The sequence below is a fragment of the Homo sapiens genome, chromosome 4, assembly GCF_000001405.40.
Source record: "Homo sapiens chromosome 4, GRCh38.p14 Primary Assembly".
NCBI classification, from domain to species: domain Eukaryota; kingdom Metazoa; phylum Chordata; class Mammalia; order Primates; family Hominidae; genus Homo; species Homo sapiens.
Genome location: NC_000004.12, coordinates 177,651,657 through 177,669,054, shown reverse-complemented (window position 1 = coordinate 177,669,054; position 17,398 = coordinate 177,651,657). Strand labels below are relative to the sequence as shown.

The window sequence follows — 17,398 nt, the reverse complement described above, 5'->3', positions numbered from 1 at the left end:
TAAACTTCATCTGGAAAAATAAAGAGGCAATAATAGCTAAGATTTTTGGAAAAGAAAGAGTAATGAGAAGTGACATGACTTTCTGGATATTAAAATAAATTATAAGCTATAAAATAATTAAAATTGGGCTATATAAAACAACACAGTATAATCAATCAGTATAATAACAACCTCTTACAATATCATATTTAACAGGCAAATTCATGGAATATAGTAAACTTCCATAAAATAGACTCTAATGGTTATAAACATTGATTTCATGCTGAAAGAACTATCATGAACCAATGGAGAAGGAACATAGTAATCAGTAGTGTTAATGCCATAAACCAAAATCAGTTTCAAATAGACAAAAAAGTGAATATTTAAATAAATTATTTAAAAAATAAAGAAATATTTATTGCTAAATTGGAAGCAATTTGTTAATTATTTAAAAAACGAAAGCAATTATTAAAGAAAATGTTGATAGATCTGAATGAAAAATAACTAAACCTTCTTAATGTCAAAAAGAACATAAATTAACATTTTTTTTTAATTGGAAGGTTATTTTTCAATGCCAAGTTTAATATTGTATTCTCTCTCTCATATACAGACACATAAGCACACACACACATACACTCTCTTAAAATAAATGTGAAAAATAGGGAAATCTAATAATGAATAAGCAATTAAACAAAAAAATTGTTTAATGAATATATTTAATACTGTATTTCTGTAGTTGTTGCAGCAAATGAAGAAACTGATGCTTTAACATATGGAAAATAACTTTTAAATATGATTTTGTGTTGAAAAGTTGGTACAGAATATAAATTCGTTTGAACATCTGGAAAGCATTCAACAGTTTGTATCAAAATACTTACAAATCCCTATATAATTTAACTTAATTATTCTTATTCCTAAGTATATCATCACACATTTAAACATAAAAATATGTTAAAAAATCTTCATCATAATCTTGTGTATAGAAGATAATGTAAATAAGTCAAAATTTCAATAATCAAAAAATAATTATGGCACATCTATACAAAAGACTATTTTAGGCAGTATAAACAGATGTTTGAAGGATTTTAATGACATGAGACAATTTTTACAATATAATATCAAGCTAGAAAATCACTCTTTTCTCTTTTTGAGACAGAGTCTCCCTCTGTCGCCCCGGCTCTGTCTCCCTCTGTCGTTCCCTCTGTGCAGTGGCACGATCTCCTCTCACTGCAACCTCTGCCTCCGGATTCAAGTGATTCTCCTTCCTCAGCCTCCCAAGTAGCTGGGATTACAGGCACTTGCCACCATGCCCAGCTGATTTTTGCATTTTTAGCAGAGACAGGGTTTTGCCATGTTGCCTAGGCTGGTCTCTTTAACTCCTGAGATGAAGCAATCCAGCTGCCTTGGCCTCCCAAAGTGCTGGGATTACAGGCATGAGCCACCACGGCTGGCCTGAAAATAACCATTTTAATTGTACTTAGAGTTTAATCACAATTTGGGCATAGAAAAAATAGTGACAGGAAATATATATAATGCAAATATGCTATGATGGCTATACTTGGTGAGTATAAAGTTTTTTTTGTTTTTTTGTTTTTTTACTTAATTTGTTCTCCATTTTCTAAAATCGGCCTCTATTCCTGTAATAAGCATGTACACCATAGCTGAATGTGCATTCTCTCAATATGTCTTATGCAATTGCTTCAATCATGTTTTCTTATTTTCTGCTAGTTTACAATTATTAAAATGTGACTCTGGGATGCAGGCTTACTTTAAATTTTATTTAAATGGCAAAGCAAGTATTTTGCCACTACCAATATTACAATAAAATTGGTATTTTGTGTTAGAGTATCTATTATCAAAATGGATGTTCTGTGATTTATAAAATAATTTTAAAGGCATTAGTACATTCAAATATTTAAAGTATTTTCATAGTTCATTTCTTCCTCCAACTCTGTTAAGTAATAAATGTTCAAAATAACAAGTCTAAACAAAATATGATTTACTCTTTTAAACTTCACACCTCTATATGTCACCAATTTATTGGGATACTGAGAGACAGGACTAGCCGACTAAGAATTCCTAAGCCTAGCTAGGGAAGGTGACCGCACCCTCCTTTAAACACGGGACTTGTAACTCAGCTCACACCTGACCAATCAGGTAGTAAAGAGGGCTCACTAAAATACCAATTAGGCTAAAAGCAGGAGGTAAAGAAATAGTCAAATCATCTATCATCTGAGAGCACGGGGGAGGGACAATGATTGGGATATAAACCCCAGGCATTCGAGCCGGAAGTGGGCAACCCCTTTGGGTCCCCTCCCCTTGTGTGGGAGCTCTGTTTTCACTCTTTTAAATCTTGTAACTGCATGCTTCTCTGGTCTGTGTTCCTGCTGGAGCTGAGCCTTCCCTCACTGTCCACCACTGCTGTTTGCAGCCATCACAGACCCGCCATTGACTTCCACCCCTCCAGACCCAGCAGGGTGTCTGCTGTGTTTCTGATCCAGTGAGGCACCCATTGCCCCTCCCATTTGGGCTAGAGGCTTGCCATTGTTCCTGCATGGCTAAGCACCCGGGTTCGTCCTATTCGAGCTGAACACTAGTCGCTGGGTTCCACAGTTCTCCTCTGTGACCCTTAGTTTCTAATAGAGCTATAACAGTCACCGCATGGCCCAAGGTTCCATTCCTTGGAATCTGTGAGGCCAAGAACCTCAGGTCAGAGAACAAAAGGCTTGCCACCAACTTGGGAGCAGCCCACCACCATCTTGGGAGCGGACTACCACCATCTTGGGAGCTCTAAGAACAAAGACCCACCCATAACAATACGTTCAGTAAATTAATGCAAATTTGAATTACAAATGAAACTTAGGAGTTTAAAATAACATTTAAATTACAGACATACAGATCTACACAAGACAAAACCACTTTATAAGTAGCAAAATAGGTGAATGTAATACTAATCAATTTGCTTACATTCAAATGCAAATTAAAACTGAAGAGTTTCTGCACATCACTGTTTTTGCTTTATCTAACAAAGATCAGACTGATAAGAAATAAGCATCATTCTTTTGATACATGATACTACTTTTGAAAAACAAATATTGCAATAGTAAATTATATAGAACACTTTGGTGAAATCATTTGTGAGGTTATTATCTCTCCTGTTCCTGCATGCCCTTTTTCCTCAAAAATCCAAATATTTTACTCTTTGGTCAAGTTCACACATTAAAATGAGGGTAATCATTCAGTTCAAACCTGCCCCCCTTCTCCTCAGCTATTAACTCTTTTCCTTCTAATGCTTTAGCGTGCATAATAATAGCAAAATGGATTGAAAGAGCATCAACTGCCTCTTCTAATCTAAATTTAAGTACCCTGATTGCAGGTTAGAAGCTTTCCTTTGATATTTTTTAAGAATCTGTTTCATGGAAGTAAATTTTTAAGCACAATTTTTTATGCATCACAGTCTTTTGAAAGATTGATTCAACAGACCTTCACATTTCTTTATTCTCATCTATGCTAGTTTAGAAATTGGCTGTTTAATTTTTTTTAATTTACAGTATATATTGGTACAAGTTAGATTGGTTTGCACATCTCATTTTTATTCCAAATCTATTTCCCCTGAGTAGTCAAAACTACTGGAGTAAAACATTTATTACTCTCTATTTTTGTTAGCTCTCAATCCTGTAGTTATGCATCAGTTCTCTGAATTTCTCTCATTAAGATTAATACACATGTATGTTTTCATCTTATAATTATGTTTCATGTCATATCCTATTGGAATAGCTAGGGTGATATTCATAAATCAATTCATCTTTGCAGTGCTTTTGCTCCCCTCTTTGTTTTTCTCTCTTTCTCTTAACTCAGCATCTTCAAAATGCAGAAATGATTAGATTTTCATTAATTCTGTTAAATAGGTTCGTACACATTACAGTGAGCAGCCATCACTTAGAAAATGTCAATAACCTTAGAAGTCAAATCATGCTGATTCGCTTCCAGTGAAGCATGGAAAAAACTATTACCCCGGATTTATTAGCTATGCATATTGGGAACACTCAAAAACAATTAAGCTTTTGAATGTGGACAAGAGTCATGGAGTACAGAAAGCGCACTATGTTGAAAGTAGAAGCTACTGCTTCTAAACATGGCTCTGATCAGCTTTGTCAGCCTTGATAGGTCAGTAACATTCCCTGGACCTCCGTTTCATCTGTTAAAACAATATTTGGTTCCAACTTCACACTTTTAAAACTATTGTTAAAGAAATATACTTAAAAACGAACTCTTCTGCCAACCCAGAAAATTGCTCCAATAAGATAGAAAAGAAAAAATAATTTCATTATTGAATAGCATTAAACCAGGACATGATGTGCATCACAATAATTGCTAAGAGATTGCAAAAACAGAAAGAAATCTCATTTTATATAGCCAAGCAGATACAACCCATTACATATATGTTCCCAAGATAAACAATAACTAGTCCTCAAATCAAAGGACTTCACAGCACCACTGTGACATATGTGACAACACATAGTTCATCCTGGATTCTTGGTCATTGGGCTGGCCATCTGTGTTTCCTTTGGCTTTATCCAAAGGAAAAACAAACTTCTCATATCTTTATGAAAAGCAGTAGTTTTGCAACTTGGAGTGAGATGCCTACCAATGTCAGGTTCCTACCCTCCCACAGAAATTGGGAGGTCGGTGTACTTTTGTAATTGGGGACCTCAGTTTTAAAAATGCATTTTTAAATCACTTACTCTCTTTTTCTTCCTTTCCTTCCCTCACCCCTTCATTCCTTACCTCTCTAGACACTCCCCTACCCCCCCGCCCCAGCAATGCACACTCACTTAATTATTTTCTTCCTTAAGAAACTCAAAAGACTAATCTTTTGAAACAAGGCATGGAGCCCTAATGGTAGAATTCTCTTTAGGAGGAATTGTGAACTATCAATCCACCATCATTGGGCTAAAGTCAAGATAATGCCAACCAGATCTTCAGATGGGCGAGTACCCAAGATAGCCAGCAGAAAAAGACACTCGGACCTTACACTCTGCACCAGTCCTGCATGTCTCCCATATCAAGTTTCCCTTTTAAAACCTTATGATAAACTTTAAAATTTGAGATGGTCTTTATGACTTGAGTTCAGCATCTTCACAAGCCCTCTGGCACTTGATTCAATCCGATTTTTCCTTCCACCAAACCTTGTCTCTCAAGACTGGCTTTTGGGTAGTGGACTGCTGGACTTAGGTCCAGTTACACTTTTTTCCTTGAGGATGATTACATTTTCAAGAGATGGTTCTCAGATCCTCAAGCAAAACATTCCTGGGTCCTGAAGCTTCCAGAGATTCTTTAGCTTTTTAAGATTGAAATATATTTTTAAAGACAGAGAAAGAATAAACAAGTGGTCTAAATTAAATTATCTGAGAAAAGAGAGTGGGAAGAAGTCTTTTTCCTTATTTTCAACAGAAAGAATTAAGTCTCTTATTTTTAATTTGAATTTATCCTTACACTATAAAATCTCAACATTGCAAATAAGCACACATCAGTCTAAGCAAGGAGAGGAATTGCTCCTTGAATCAGTAAATACACAGATGTTTATTTCAAAAAAAAAAGTTATCTTACAGAGAGTATATCACCATTCAGAAGGGTGTTCTGAATATCACTTAAGAATGTGAGTAGGAAATCATGTACCAGATAATATAATTAATTTTGAATAATTTCTTGATATTTTGTAAGTGGAGTTATGCTTAAAATTTCCTCTCAGGGTCCCTGGGAAGGGATAAAGCACGACTTTGGAGCAGCATGCTGGCAAACGGAGCGTTCAGTGCAGATTAGACCTCCAAATGCCGGGGGCCGGGGGTCGGCCCTCAGACTACTTTTATTCTCTAACTAGACTCTCTCCAGGATCCAGGTTTTAAATGTTTTCTATATTTTGATGATTCCCAAATTTACATCTCTGACCCCAATTTCTACCCTGTGAAGTCTCCTAAATCCAACTACCTGAACAATTTTTCTTGTTGGGAATTGGCCCCCATGTCTGGCCATAAACTAGCCATAAACAAAATCTCTGTAGCACTGTGACATGTTTGTGATGGCCATGACACCCACGCTGGAAGGTTGTGGGTTTACTGGAATGATGGCAAGGAATACCTGGCCCACCCAGGGTGGAAAACCGCTTAAAGGAGTTCCTGAACCACAAACAATAGCATGAGCGATCTGTGCCTTAAGGACATGTTCCTGCTGCAGATAACTAGCCAGACCCAACCCTTTATTTCGGCCCATCCCTTTGTTTCCCGTAAGGAATACTTTCAGTTACTCTATAATCTATAGAAACAATGCTTATCACTGGCTTGCTGTCAATAAATATGTGGGTAAATCTCTGTTCAGGGCTCTCAGCTCTGAAGGCTGTGAGACCCCTGATTTCCCACTCCACACTCTATATTTCTGTGTGTATGTCTTTAATTCCTCGGTTTCCATGACCGAGCTGGTCTCAGCAATTTTTACTCTTTAATGTGCAAAGGAAAACACCTCAGTCTCTTCCACTCCCTTTCTAAGGAGCATATGCATCCTAGGAAGCAGCACCACCACTCTCCCAGCTACACAGAACACAGGCTTATGAATCCAACCTCCCTATCCAACTCATCAGTGACTTTTATTAGGTTGGTGCAAAAGTAATTGCAGTTTTTGCTATTGAAAGTAATGGCAAAACCTTAATAGCTTTAATCTACATTGAAAATATAACTGAAATACAGTCACTTCTCATTGACTCGCCACTACCACTCAGATCCAAGCTGCCATCATCTCTTCACAAAATCACCCACACTTCACAATATCAGGGTGACCTTTTAAAAACGTAAATCAGATTCTGTCACTCCCCTGCTCAAGATCATTGGATTAGTCTGTTCTCACGCTGCTAATAAAGACATACCGAGCGACTGGATAATTTATAAAGAAAAAAAGATTCCATGGACTCACAATTCCACATGGCTGGGAAGTCCTCACAATCATGGCAGAAGGTGAATGAGGAGCAAAGTCACGTCTTACATGGCAGCAGGCAAGAGTGTGTTCAGGGGAACTGCCCTTTATAAAACCATCAGGATCTTATGAGACTTATTCACTATCACGAGAACAGAACAGGAAAAACCAACTCCCATGATTCAATTACCTCCCACCACTAGGTCCCTCCCACGACATGTGAGGATTGTGGGAACTACAATTCAAAATGAGATTTGGATGGGGACACAGCCAAACCATATCAATCATCTAATAGCTTCCCATCACGCAGGACAAAAAACAAAGTTCTTACTAAGTGAAATAAACCAGTCACAAAAAGACAAATACCGTGTGATTCACGTGAGCTATCTAATGTAGTTAAATGCTTAAAAACAGAAAGGAAATTGGTTGTGACCAGGGGAAAAGGGGGAGTTGTTTCACAAAGTGAAAAAGTTCCAGAGATCTATTTCACAGCAACGTGAATGTATTTAACACAGCTGAACTATGCACCTAAAAATGCTTAAGACTGTAAATTATATGTTATCTGCTTTTTACCACAATTGTAAAATAAGCTTTCACTGGGGTCTATAATGTTCTAAGGACATGTATATCTGTGTTTAAGAGAAAAACCTCTGGAATGGTGATGGGACAGAAAAAAACAAAACGTGCTAGAGTAAGAGTCTGGTAATAGCAGATCAATGATGAAAGGTCCAGTGTAGTGACAAGGTCATCAGGAGGTGGGTGAGAGGGAGAAAGAGTAGAGTAAGAACAGGAGGGGCCGCTCTAATTCTCGAGTAGCCAGTGGTAATTTTAAAGCTCCATAGGCTTTTAATTAATCATAGATCTTCATTAATAATGCTGGTAGTATTTAGTTAGATCTATGTTCCTTCTAAAATCTTAAGAAAAAAAATGAACCTATTACTCACCTTTCATTGACGAAACCACAGATTTATTTGGAAGAACAATGTGATAATGCACAGTAATGTGTCATTTAGACAGAAAATGCTACTCAGCCCCTGAGGCAGTATATAGTAACTTGTTTCTAAGATTTGTTTTATTTTCCACAATATTCAGGAGCTTTCTTCTCAAGAAAAAGATGAGCTATTGTTCAGTCAATAAAGTATAGAAGTATACTCTTAATAAATGTTGATTTCTTATAAAGTTTTTAAAATACAGCTATTTTGTTCTTTTTGTGTGTGTGTGCAATTGTATACAAGGCAATTTTTGTGCCTGTTCTATGCTGTCACTTTAGTGATCTTTCTACTCCTTTTAAGAGCTGCACAGAACCTCTGAAGAAAGAAGTCACTCACAGAAGACTGCTTAACATATGTAAAGAAACATATTTAGTTTAAGTTGAGATAAATTTGATTTAAACCACATCACTACAACCCCAACATGTACACCTCAATACTCAACCATGCCTGCAGAAAGAAAAACACGCTAGTAGAAAGAAATGCTTCATTACATGTTTTGCCTACTTTAAGGTGCTGACTATTTAATAATTCTGCTGCCTCAGAACTAGGTTAACTACTTAAAGTTGTGTAAATGTTACTGATTATTTCTGTTGCTTTTTCATACAATTAACATAAACTTGATCTATGTTGGTAATTTTAAAAAACACACACACAAAGGGTCTTAGGCAGCACTAAAAATGCTGATCTGCAATTTGCTCCCAGGAATGCAGAAGCTCATTCTCACATACCCTGAGGGTGAGCAAGTTTAGTATATTTTAATAAATTCACAAGTTAAATTCTATAAAAGAGAACCATTAGAAATTAATGTTAAACTCTGAACAGGCTTGGATATACCATGTTAGATCATAAAAGTGATATGCAAATGCTTATTTTTAGCAAAACCCCAGCGTCATAGTTTATAGAATTATTTTCAAATTATAGGCATCTGAAAGAAGTACTCACAAAACTACTCAATTTACAGTTGACCTGGAAACAAAGAATAAGAATATGAAATTTCTAAAGTCTGTAATGTAAGGTGTAGTTCTTAAAACTAATTATACGGAAAATCATCTAAGAAGGGGCTAAAATATAGCAATGACTGTGACTGGCTCCCAGAAACTCTTATTTAATTGTTCTGAGACAGGGCCACTGAGTCTACAAGGTCTTTTATCTTGGATAAAATCATTGAAGAGGATGATGCTTATGACTTCAGTACAGATTATGTGTAACAGAACAATGGCTTTTTATGATTTTTTTTTAACATTTTAAGCAGACTGCTAAACTGTTCTCTGTATAAGTTATGGTATGCATGAGCTGTGTAAATTTTGTGAATATGTATTATATTAAAACCAGGCAACTTGGAATCCCTAAATTCTGTAAAAAGACAATTCATCTCATTGTGAGTGGAAGTAGTTATCTGGAATAAAAAAAGAAGATACCTATTGAGAATGACTCGATTATGATTACATTGTAAGGCCAGAATACTCAGACTTTAGTGTTATATACCTATCCTTCCCCAACCAACACACAAAAAACACACTAAGGACAGAAAATACCTCAGGTATTACACTATTTTTCCAGTATCTTATAATAATATTGTCTAACCAGAGTCCTTTATAACTTCAGTTATAAAAAGCATTGGGATTTGACAAATGAATACTCTGGAGGAAGGGGGAAAGAGTTGGAACTAAAAGGAGAAGGCACAAATTCTGGGATAAAATATTGAAAAAATTTGATGTCAAACAGATTCTTCTAGACATTTCCCAATGGATGAGACCATTTTTCCAGCTCCAGTTATGGTGATAATTCTCTGCAATCTCCAGTAACAAGGATGGTAGTCAGGAGACAAGCCCTTTGCCTTTCTCCCTACAAACTGTTTTGTTTTTGTCCCTGAATGAAATGAACTCCAAGTTGTGCTAATTTCAGATGGACACTTAGAAATAGAAACAAAAATGAATTCACTTAATTCTTGAGGTAAAGTGGGAAAAGATATACTTTAGATACACTATAACGGAATTATGAACAGAATAAGATATAAGCATATATTAGCAATATTGCAGTTTCTGTTCTGGATTGCCACAATAAAGCAAATATCATAATAAAGTGAGTCACACAAAATTTTGGTTTCCCAGTGTATATATGTAACTAAATCTCAGGTTCAGTGACTGGCTGCTTGCAGTCCAATTAGCAAGAGTGAGGTCTGATATAAAGAAAGTGACTGGTTTTATGGTTTGGTTTTTTTTTTTTTTTTTTTGACAGAGTCTCACTCTGTCGCCCAGGCTGGAGTCCAGTGGCGTAAACTCAGCTCACTGTAACCTTTGCCTCCCAGGTTCAAGTAATTCTCATGCTTCAGCCTCCCAAGTAGCTGGGACTACAGGCATACCCCACCATGCCCGGCTAATTTTTGTATTTTTTAGGAGGGACAGGGCTTCACCATGCTGGCCAAGCTGGTCTTGAGCTTCTGACCTCCAGTGATCCACCTACCTAGACCTCCCAAAGTGCTGGGATTACAGGCATCTGACCAAAAGCGACTTTTTATCTCAAAGTTTAGCTTAAAGGAAGAGGGACAGGCTCCTGCCTTTGAGGGTGCTACTTCTCCTTTGGGACAGAACGCAGGGGCTTTAAAAGCAGGAGTTGGTGAACAGCATGCAGGGGAGGCAGTGAGCAGGTGGGGATCTATGTGACTCACTTCAGTGCCTTCTCTCCTGGGTGGTCGAGTTGGCACCATTAGGGGAAGAACTAGGCTATAAAGTGGACATTGTATGAGATATTTTCCAGGTGGGACAGAGTTTTCTCTGGTGGGCATATGTTAGGTTTTTGTATTAGTCCATCCTCGTGCTGCTAATAAAGACGTACCCAAGACTGGGTAATTTATGAAGGAAAGAGGTTTAATGGACTCACAGTTCCACATGGCTGGGGAGGCCTCACCATCATAATGGAAGGTGAAGGAAGAACAAAGGCACATCTTACATGGTGGCAGGCAAGAGAGTGTGTGCAGGGGAACTCCCATTTATAAAACCATCGGATCTCATGAGACTTATTCACTACAAGAACAGTATGGGGGAAACTGCCCCCAAGATTCAGTTACCTCCACCTGGTCCTGCCCTTGACACATGGGGATTATTACAATTCAAGGTGAGCTTTGTGTGGGGACACAGCCAAACCACATCAGTTGTAAATTGACTGTTGTCTCTTGAGGCAATCTCCTGGTGGGAAAGAGCTCTTGCTCTGGAGCTTCTAAGTAAGTACATAGTTAGATAAGCTTGTCCTGTAGTAAGTGTCTTGTGAAGAGAAGGTAAAGGTTATAACTGTATTTCTAAAGAGCGAAATAGGAAGTAGGGAACAGGGGAAAAGGAGAAAAGAGAAAAGAAGAAGAATATAATGAAAAACACATTTCTCTTAGAAAAAAATGGGGTACTCAGTTAATATATAGGAGTTAAATTTATAGAATACTGTGGTCTGTTAATTATGCCATAGCATTATGTCTAAAAAACAATGTACGTGCCTTAATTTTAAGATGGTTTATTGGTAAAAAATGCTAATGATCATCTGAGCCTTCAGCAAGTCGTAATGTTTTTGCTGGTGGGAGGTCTTGCCTCAATGTTGGTAGCTACTGACTGATCAGAGTGGTGATTACTGAAGATTGGGGTGACTGTGGCAATTTCTTAAAATAAGACAAAAATAAACTTTGCTGCATCAGTTGACCCTTTATTTAATGAAAGATTTTTCAGTAGCATGTGATGCCGTTTGATAGCATTTTACCCACAGTAGAAGTTCTTTCCAAATTGGAGTCAGTCTTTTCAATCCCAGTCATGGCTTTATCAACTTTATGAAATATTCTAAATTCTTTGTTGTCATTAAAAAAAAAAAAGCCCACTGCATCTTCACCAGGGGTGAATTTCATCTCAAGAAACCACTTTCTTTGCTCATCCATAAAAAGCAGCTCCTCATTTATGTAAGTATTATTTTGAGATTTCAGCAATTCAGTCACATCTTCAGGCTCCATTTCTACCTCTAATTCTCTTGCTATTTTTCCACCACATCTGCTGTGACTAATTCCACTGAAGTCTTGAAACACTCAAAGTCATCCCTGAGGATTGGAATCAACTTCTTACAAACTCTTATTAATGTTCATATTTTGGCCTCCTCTCATGAATCATGAGTGTTTTTAATGACATCTAGAACAGTCAATCCTTTCCAGAAGGTTTTTCAACTAACTTTTTGCAGATTTATCAGAGGAATCACTGTGAAAGCTACAGACTTATAGAATGCACTTCTTAAGTAAAAAGACTTGAAAGTCAAAGTTACTCCTTGATTCATGGGCTACAGAATGGATGCTGTGTTAGCAGGCATGAAAACAACATTAATCCCCTCATACATCTCTATCAGAGCTTTTGAGCGACCAAGTGCATTCTCAATGAACAGTAATATTTTGAAAGGAATTTTTTTGAGCAGTAGGTCTCAACAGGTGTTCTAAAACTGATCATAACCTCACACTTACTATCTCAATAATGGAACCCACTCTACACACAATATATTCATCTACTCATTCTTTTATTCAAATTTATTTAAAATACATACTCTAACAACTTGCAGAATGGAAGAAAATATTTGCAAACTATGCATCTGTCAGGGGACTTATATTCAGAATTTACAAGGAACTCAAGCAATTCAACAACAACAAAAACGTAACACTATTAAAAAGTGAGCAAAAGATATGAAGACATTTTTCAAAAGAATACATACAAATTGCCAACAAGCTTATGAAAAAATACTTATCACTAATCATCAGAGACACGCAAACCCACAGTGAAATATAATCTTACGTCAATCTCCACATGGCCATTATTAAAAAGTCTCAACATAACAGATGTTGGCAAGGATGTATAGAAAAGGGTGCACTTATATACTATTGGTGGAAATGTAAATTAGTACAACCTCTATGGAAAACAATATGGAGATTTGTCAAAGAACTAAAAATAGAACTACCATTCAGTACAACTATCTTACTACTGGATATCTACCCAAAGGAAAATAGTTTATTATATCAAAAAGATTACCTGTACTCAGATGTTTATTGCAGAACTAGTCACAGTAACAAAGATGTGGAATCAATCTAAGTGTTCATGAAAGGATGATTGGATGAAGACAATGTGGAATATATACATCATGAATTACTATGCAGCTATAAAAAAGAATGAAATAATGTATATTGCAGCCACATGAATGGAGCTGGAGGCTGTTATCTTAAGTGAAACAACTCAGAAATAGAAATTCAAATACCACATATTCTTACTTATAAATGGGAGATAACTAATGTACACACATGGACATAGAGTGTGGAATAATAGACATTGGAGACTGAGAAAGGTAGGAGGGGGAAAGGGGGGTGGGTAAAGGATGAGAAATTACTTAATAGGCACAACACACATTATTCAGGTAATGGTTACACTGAAAGCTTAGATTTCCCCATGGTGCAATATATCCATGCAACAAAACTCTACTTGTACCCTTTAAATTTATACACATTTTTAAAAGTGTATTCTATTTGTAGTGCACAAAATATGGTATATATTAATTATGCTTTATTAATTTCATTGCTCAAATCCTTTATTTGTCATATTTTATATATTTCATAGTATTTTAATTAGTGATGTACTAATAGCTCTTCCAGTAATTGTGTGTTATCTATTTATTTTAGATTTTTGATGGTTTTTGTCATAAACATTTTGCTGCTCTATTATTTGTCACAGTTTTATGATGGGATTGTCTTCATTATGAATTGTATCTGAAGGAACTAAGGCCCATAAAAGAGCTTCATGATCCCTTCCATACAGAGCCAAAGAGTGAGTGATTATTATTAACTTTTAGCAACAAAAAATTACTATCCTTGGTCCATTTTATTTAATAAGCATCTGTTCCATGCGCTTGTCACTGTGTTTGGCCCTGATGATAATCTCTATTCCCAAGGTTCACATTTTAATGAGACTCATTAATATTACAGCCTTACTGTGGAATGTACCTTTTCTCAATATAAATATAATATCAATATATTACTTTTTATTCTTTCAAATTCTATTTTGTCCATCACTAATAAAATTGAGGTGTATCTTTCCTTTTCTTTGTCTAATAAGCTTTTGCCCATTCTTTCAACACTTTAAGTGTAACTATGCTTTAAGTTTTTCCATTATGGGCAATATATAATTGAATTTCCTTTAGTTTTTGTTTATAATACAATCTCAGAGCATTTTGTTACAATAGGGGACTTTATCAATTAACATTTAGAGCAATAACTGATGACCTTGGTTATATTTCTGTTTTCTTGTTTTATGTTTTTTATCAGGCTTCCTAATTGTTTCATTTATTTTCAGTCTATAATTATGTGTACTAAGCTATTATTACATCCATTATCTGCAATGACTTGAAAGTCAAACTTTAAAAAATTCCAGTGTTATTTGTCTGTAAGTTTTTTCAAAACCTACATGAATTTACTTCTCCTAATACGAAAGTTAAACAAACACACCAAAATATTGACCTTCTTTTCCTTCTTGCTGGAGGGAAAAATATCTTTTATTTTTCTTCATCTCACCCACTTCTATTTTTCATGAATTCAATCTTGAAATATCAAACTAAACAATCATTATTGTATTTTAAGGAATCATAAATATTCCCCTTTTGTTTTATGCAGTCAAATGAGAACAGAAGAGGATTGGATTTGTCATTTCATGTTACTATTTCAGTGCTCATGAGTAGTTCTTTCAAACTGAAGTACGTGTTTTTGAATTATTCAGTTGTATTTATCTCTAAGCCAGTTTCTCAGTAGGAGTAAGTCTTGGAATCAGTCACTCTACTGCCGCTACCCCAGCATCCTGGAAGCCATTAGATTTCTGAGAAAGTTATTTTTTCTGTTGTTGCATTTACAATAAACATCAACTTGCTTCACTGTCAACATTTTGATTAAAAACTGTTTTCTCTCAATATGTTATCATTGGTTATTGTTCCATTGTCTTCTGGAATTTTATGTTATAGAAGACTATTATTATAAATTTTTTAAAGTAACCAGAGTTTTCTTATTGTTACTTTTCTGCTTGAGAGCCAATAGGATTTTTTTCTTTTTCTTGAGATTGAAGACACCACTAATCTATCTCTAGGTAAGGGTCTCTTCTTAAATTTTGCCTAGAAAACAGCAATCCCTTTTTCCCTTGAGATTTTATTTTTACTTTATTACAGTTATCTTTATTCATATTTAACATTTGTTTGGTATCTCTTTACTGATTTTTGAATTAGGATTTTTTTTTTAGATCTGACTTTTGCCAGCAAAATAATGTTAATTTTTTTCTAATTGCCCACTCCTAATTCTCAACTCCATGTAATAACTGGAAAAGTTTTTTCTCAAATCTAAAGCCAGAAGTAAATTGTTGCACTACTATCTTTAATCCTGTATCCAATAATTACCTCAGGATCATTCTACAGTGACTATATTGTACTATTGACCTTTGTCTAATTCTAAGACTTTAAAACAGGAATAAGTGCAAAATAAAATCAGTGGTCCCCAAACTCTTTTAATCACAATTCTCTATCAGGGAAAAAAAAAAAACACCATACATAGGAGGTAGTATATTAATATGATTAATATGTTACTCTGTTCATTTCCCATTTCACAAGAGATTTTGTGAGTGCCTGCATGTTTTTTAGTTTATGCATTCACTTTAACCCCAGCTAGACAGTAGATAAGTAAAAATCTGGTGTCTATCTTATTTCCCTCAAGGTAGGCATAGCCAAGGGTCATGTTATTCCAGCCCCACCCATTTTTCAGTTAATTCTTGCATGGGTTGATGACTATTTTTTAGTTTTTATTTTTTTATTTTTTTTTGAGACGGAGTCTCGCTCTGTCGCCCAGGCTAGAGTGCAGTGGTGCCATCTTGACTCACTGCAAGCTCCACCTCCCAGGTTCACGCCATTCTCCTGCCTCAGCCTCCTGAGTAGCTGGGACTACAGGCGCCCACCACCAAGCCTGGCTAATTTCTTTTTGCATTTTTAGTAGAGACGGTGTTTCACCGTGTTAGCCAGGATGGTCTCCTGACCTTGTGATCCACCCACCTCGGCCTCCCAGAGTGCTGGGATTACGGGCGTGAGCCACCGCGCCCGGCCTTGATGACTATTTTTAAGTTTCATTGTCAAGGTGTATTTTCATCACTTCTGTGTGTAATGGAACAGAAGAGAATCATGAGTTTTGCTTGAACATGATATCTGGACTATCATATATGAATATTTCAAATGTCAACCTCTAGAACAAATATCTGATTATGTCATCCCCCCAGTACAAATCCTTTAGCGACGCAAATCACCTACAGAATATAATTCAAACTCCTCAGTGGGGAAAGCATGGTCATTCATGATCCGGCTTCTGCCCTCCATTTCAGCATCATCTCTGACCACTGCACCAGACATACCCTGGCATCTTATACTTAGAAACGAATTTACTCCCGCAAACACAATTTGCTCTTATACCATTATGTCTTGGCATGTATTGTTTCTTCCCTAAGAAATGAAGAGTGTCAGCTTCTCTCCACTGTTGTCTGCTTGACCAATAAGAAGTTGCTGTTCAAGAGAGCCAATATGTTCGTCATCATCAGAAATGGGCTCTCAGCCTACTACATATATGAATTAAGATATGTGTATATATGTATACATACATATGATTATATTATGTACAATACAATAGGGCTTTAAAGGAAGAAAAATAACACTTGGACAGTTTTCTCCCTCTCATAACGGTGCTATGTATGTATCTATTTTTCTGTCTGTCTGTTTCCTTGTTCTTTCTCTGTAGACTGGTTTCTTTACTTACCATCTGCTTGGTGTATTATCCTAATTTGCATCTTCCAGTCTCCATATCCCAAATATAAATTGATAAACCTGGAAGAGGCAATCTTATTTGTGTTCACCCATAACACATATATTAGATAACAATATTCCAGATAATTGACACATTGAACAAGTTCCATTAAAAACAAATATCTAGTTTTGATATTTTCTGAATAACATGTTATGATAGTTTCTTACCAACGTTAGAAGTCAGCCTGTTACTAAAAGGAGTTCTAAGTAATTTAAGTAAACTATAGCCAGAGGAGGGGAAAAAATAATTATCTAAAGGAAGAGTCATAACTTTGTTCTAGTAATTCAGTAACTTGATGGAGAGTATATAAAATCATTCATAATGAAAATTACCATTTCTCCAATATTTGGAAATAATGCTACACATTTGATTAAATATATAGCTTCTCTGTGATATTAGCTTGTAATTATATGCTGCTTATAGAATGTCAGGTACCATTTTAAGAGATTTACAATTAATATTCACAACAACTCTAGAAAACAGACACCATTATTCTCACTTTTTATATGAAGTAACTAAGACATAGAGAATTCAAATAATGGACTTGAGCTCACATCTCTAATATACAGTGATTGGGCTCATAACT

At 35.8% G+C, this 17,398-nt stretch overlaps 1 long non-coding RNA gene across 13 annotated transcripts in view; it reads right to left on the bottom strand.

Annotated features, from left to right (window-relative positions):
• The window catches only part of AGA-DT (AGA divergent transcript), a 255,397-nt gene that overhangs the window by 28,856 nt on the left and 209,143 nt on the right, over positions 1-17,398 (bottom strand). The window contains exon 3 of one of the 13 annotated variants that reach the window (NR_183787.1): positions 16,765-16,832. The exons of the other annotated variants lie outside the window; for them this stretch is intronic. This is a non-coding gene — a long non-coding RNA (AGA divergent transcript). The remainder of the gene's footprint in view (positions 1-16,764; positions 16,833-17,398) is intronic. 13 annotated transcript variants of the gene reach the window in all.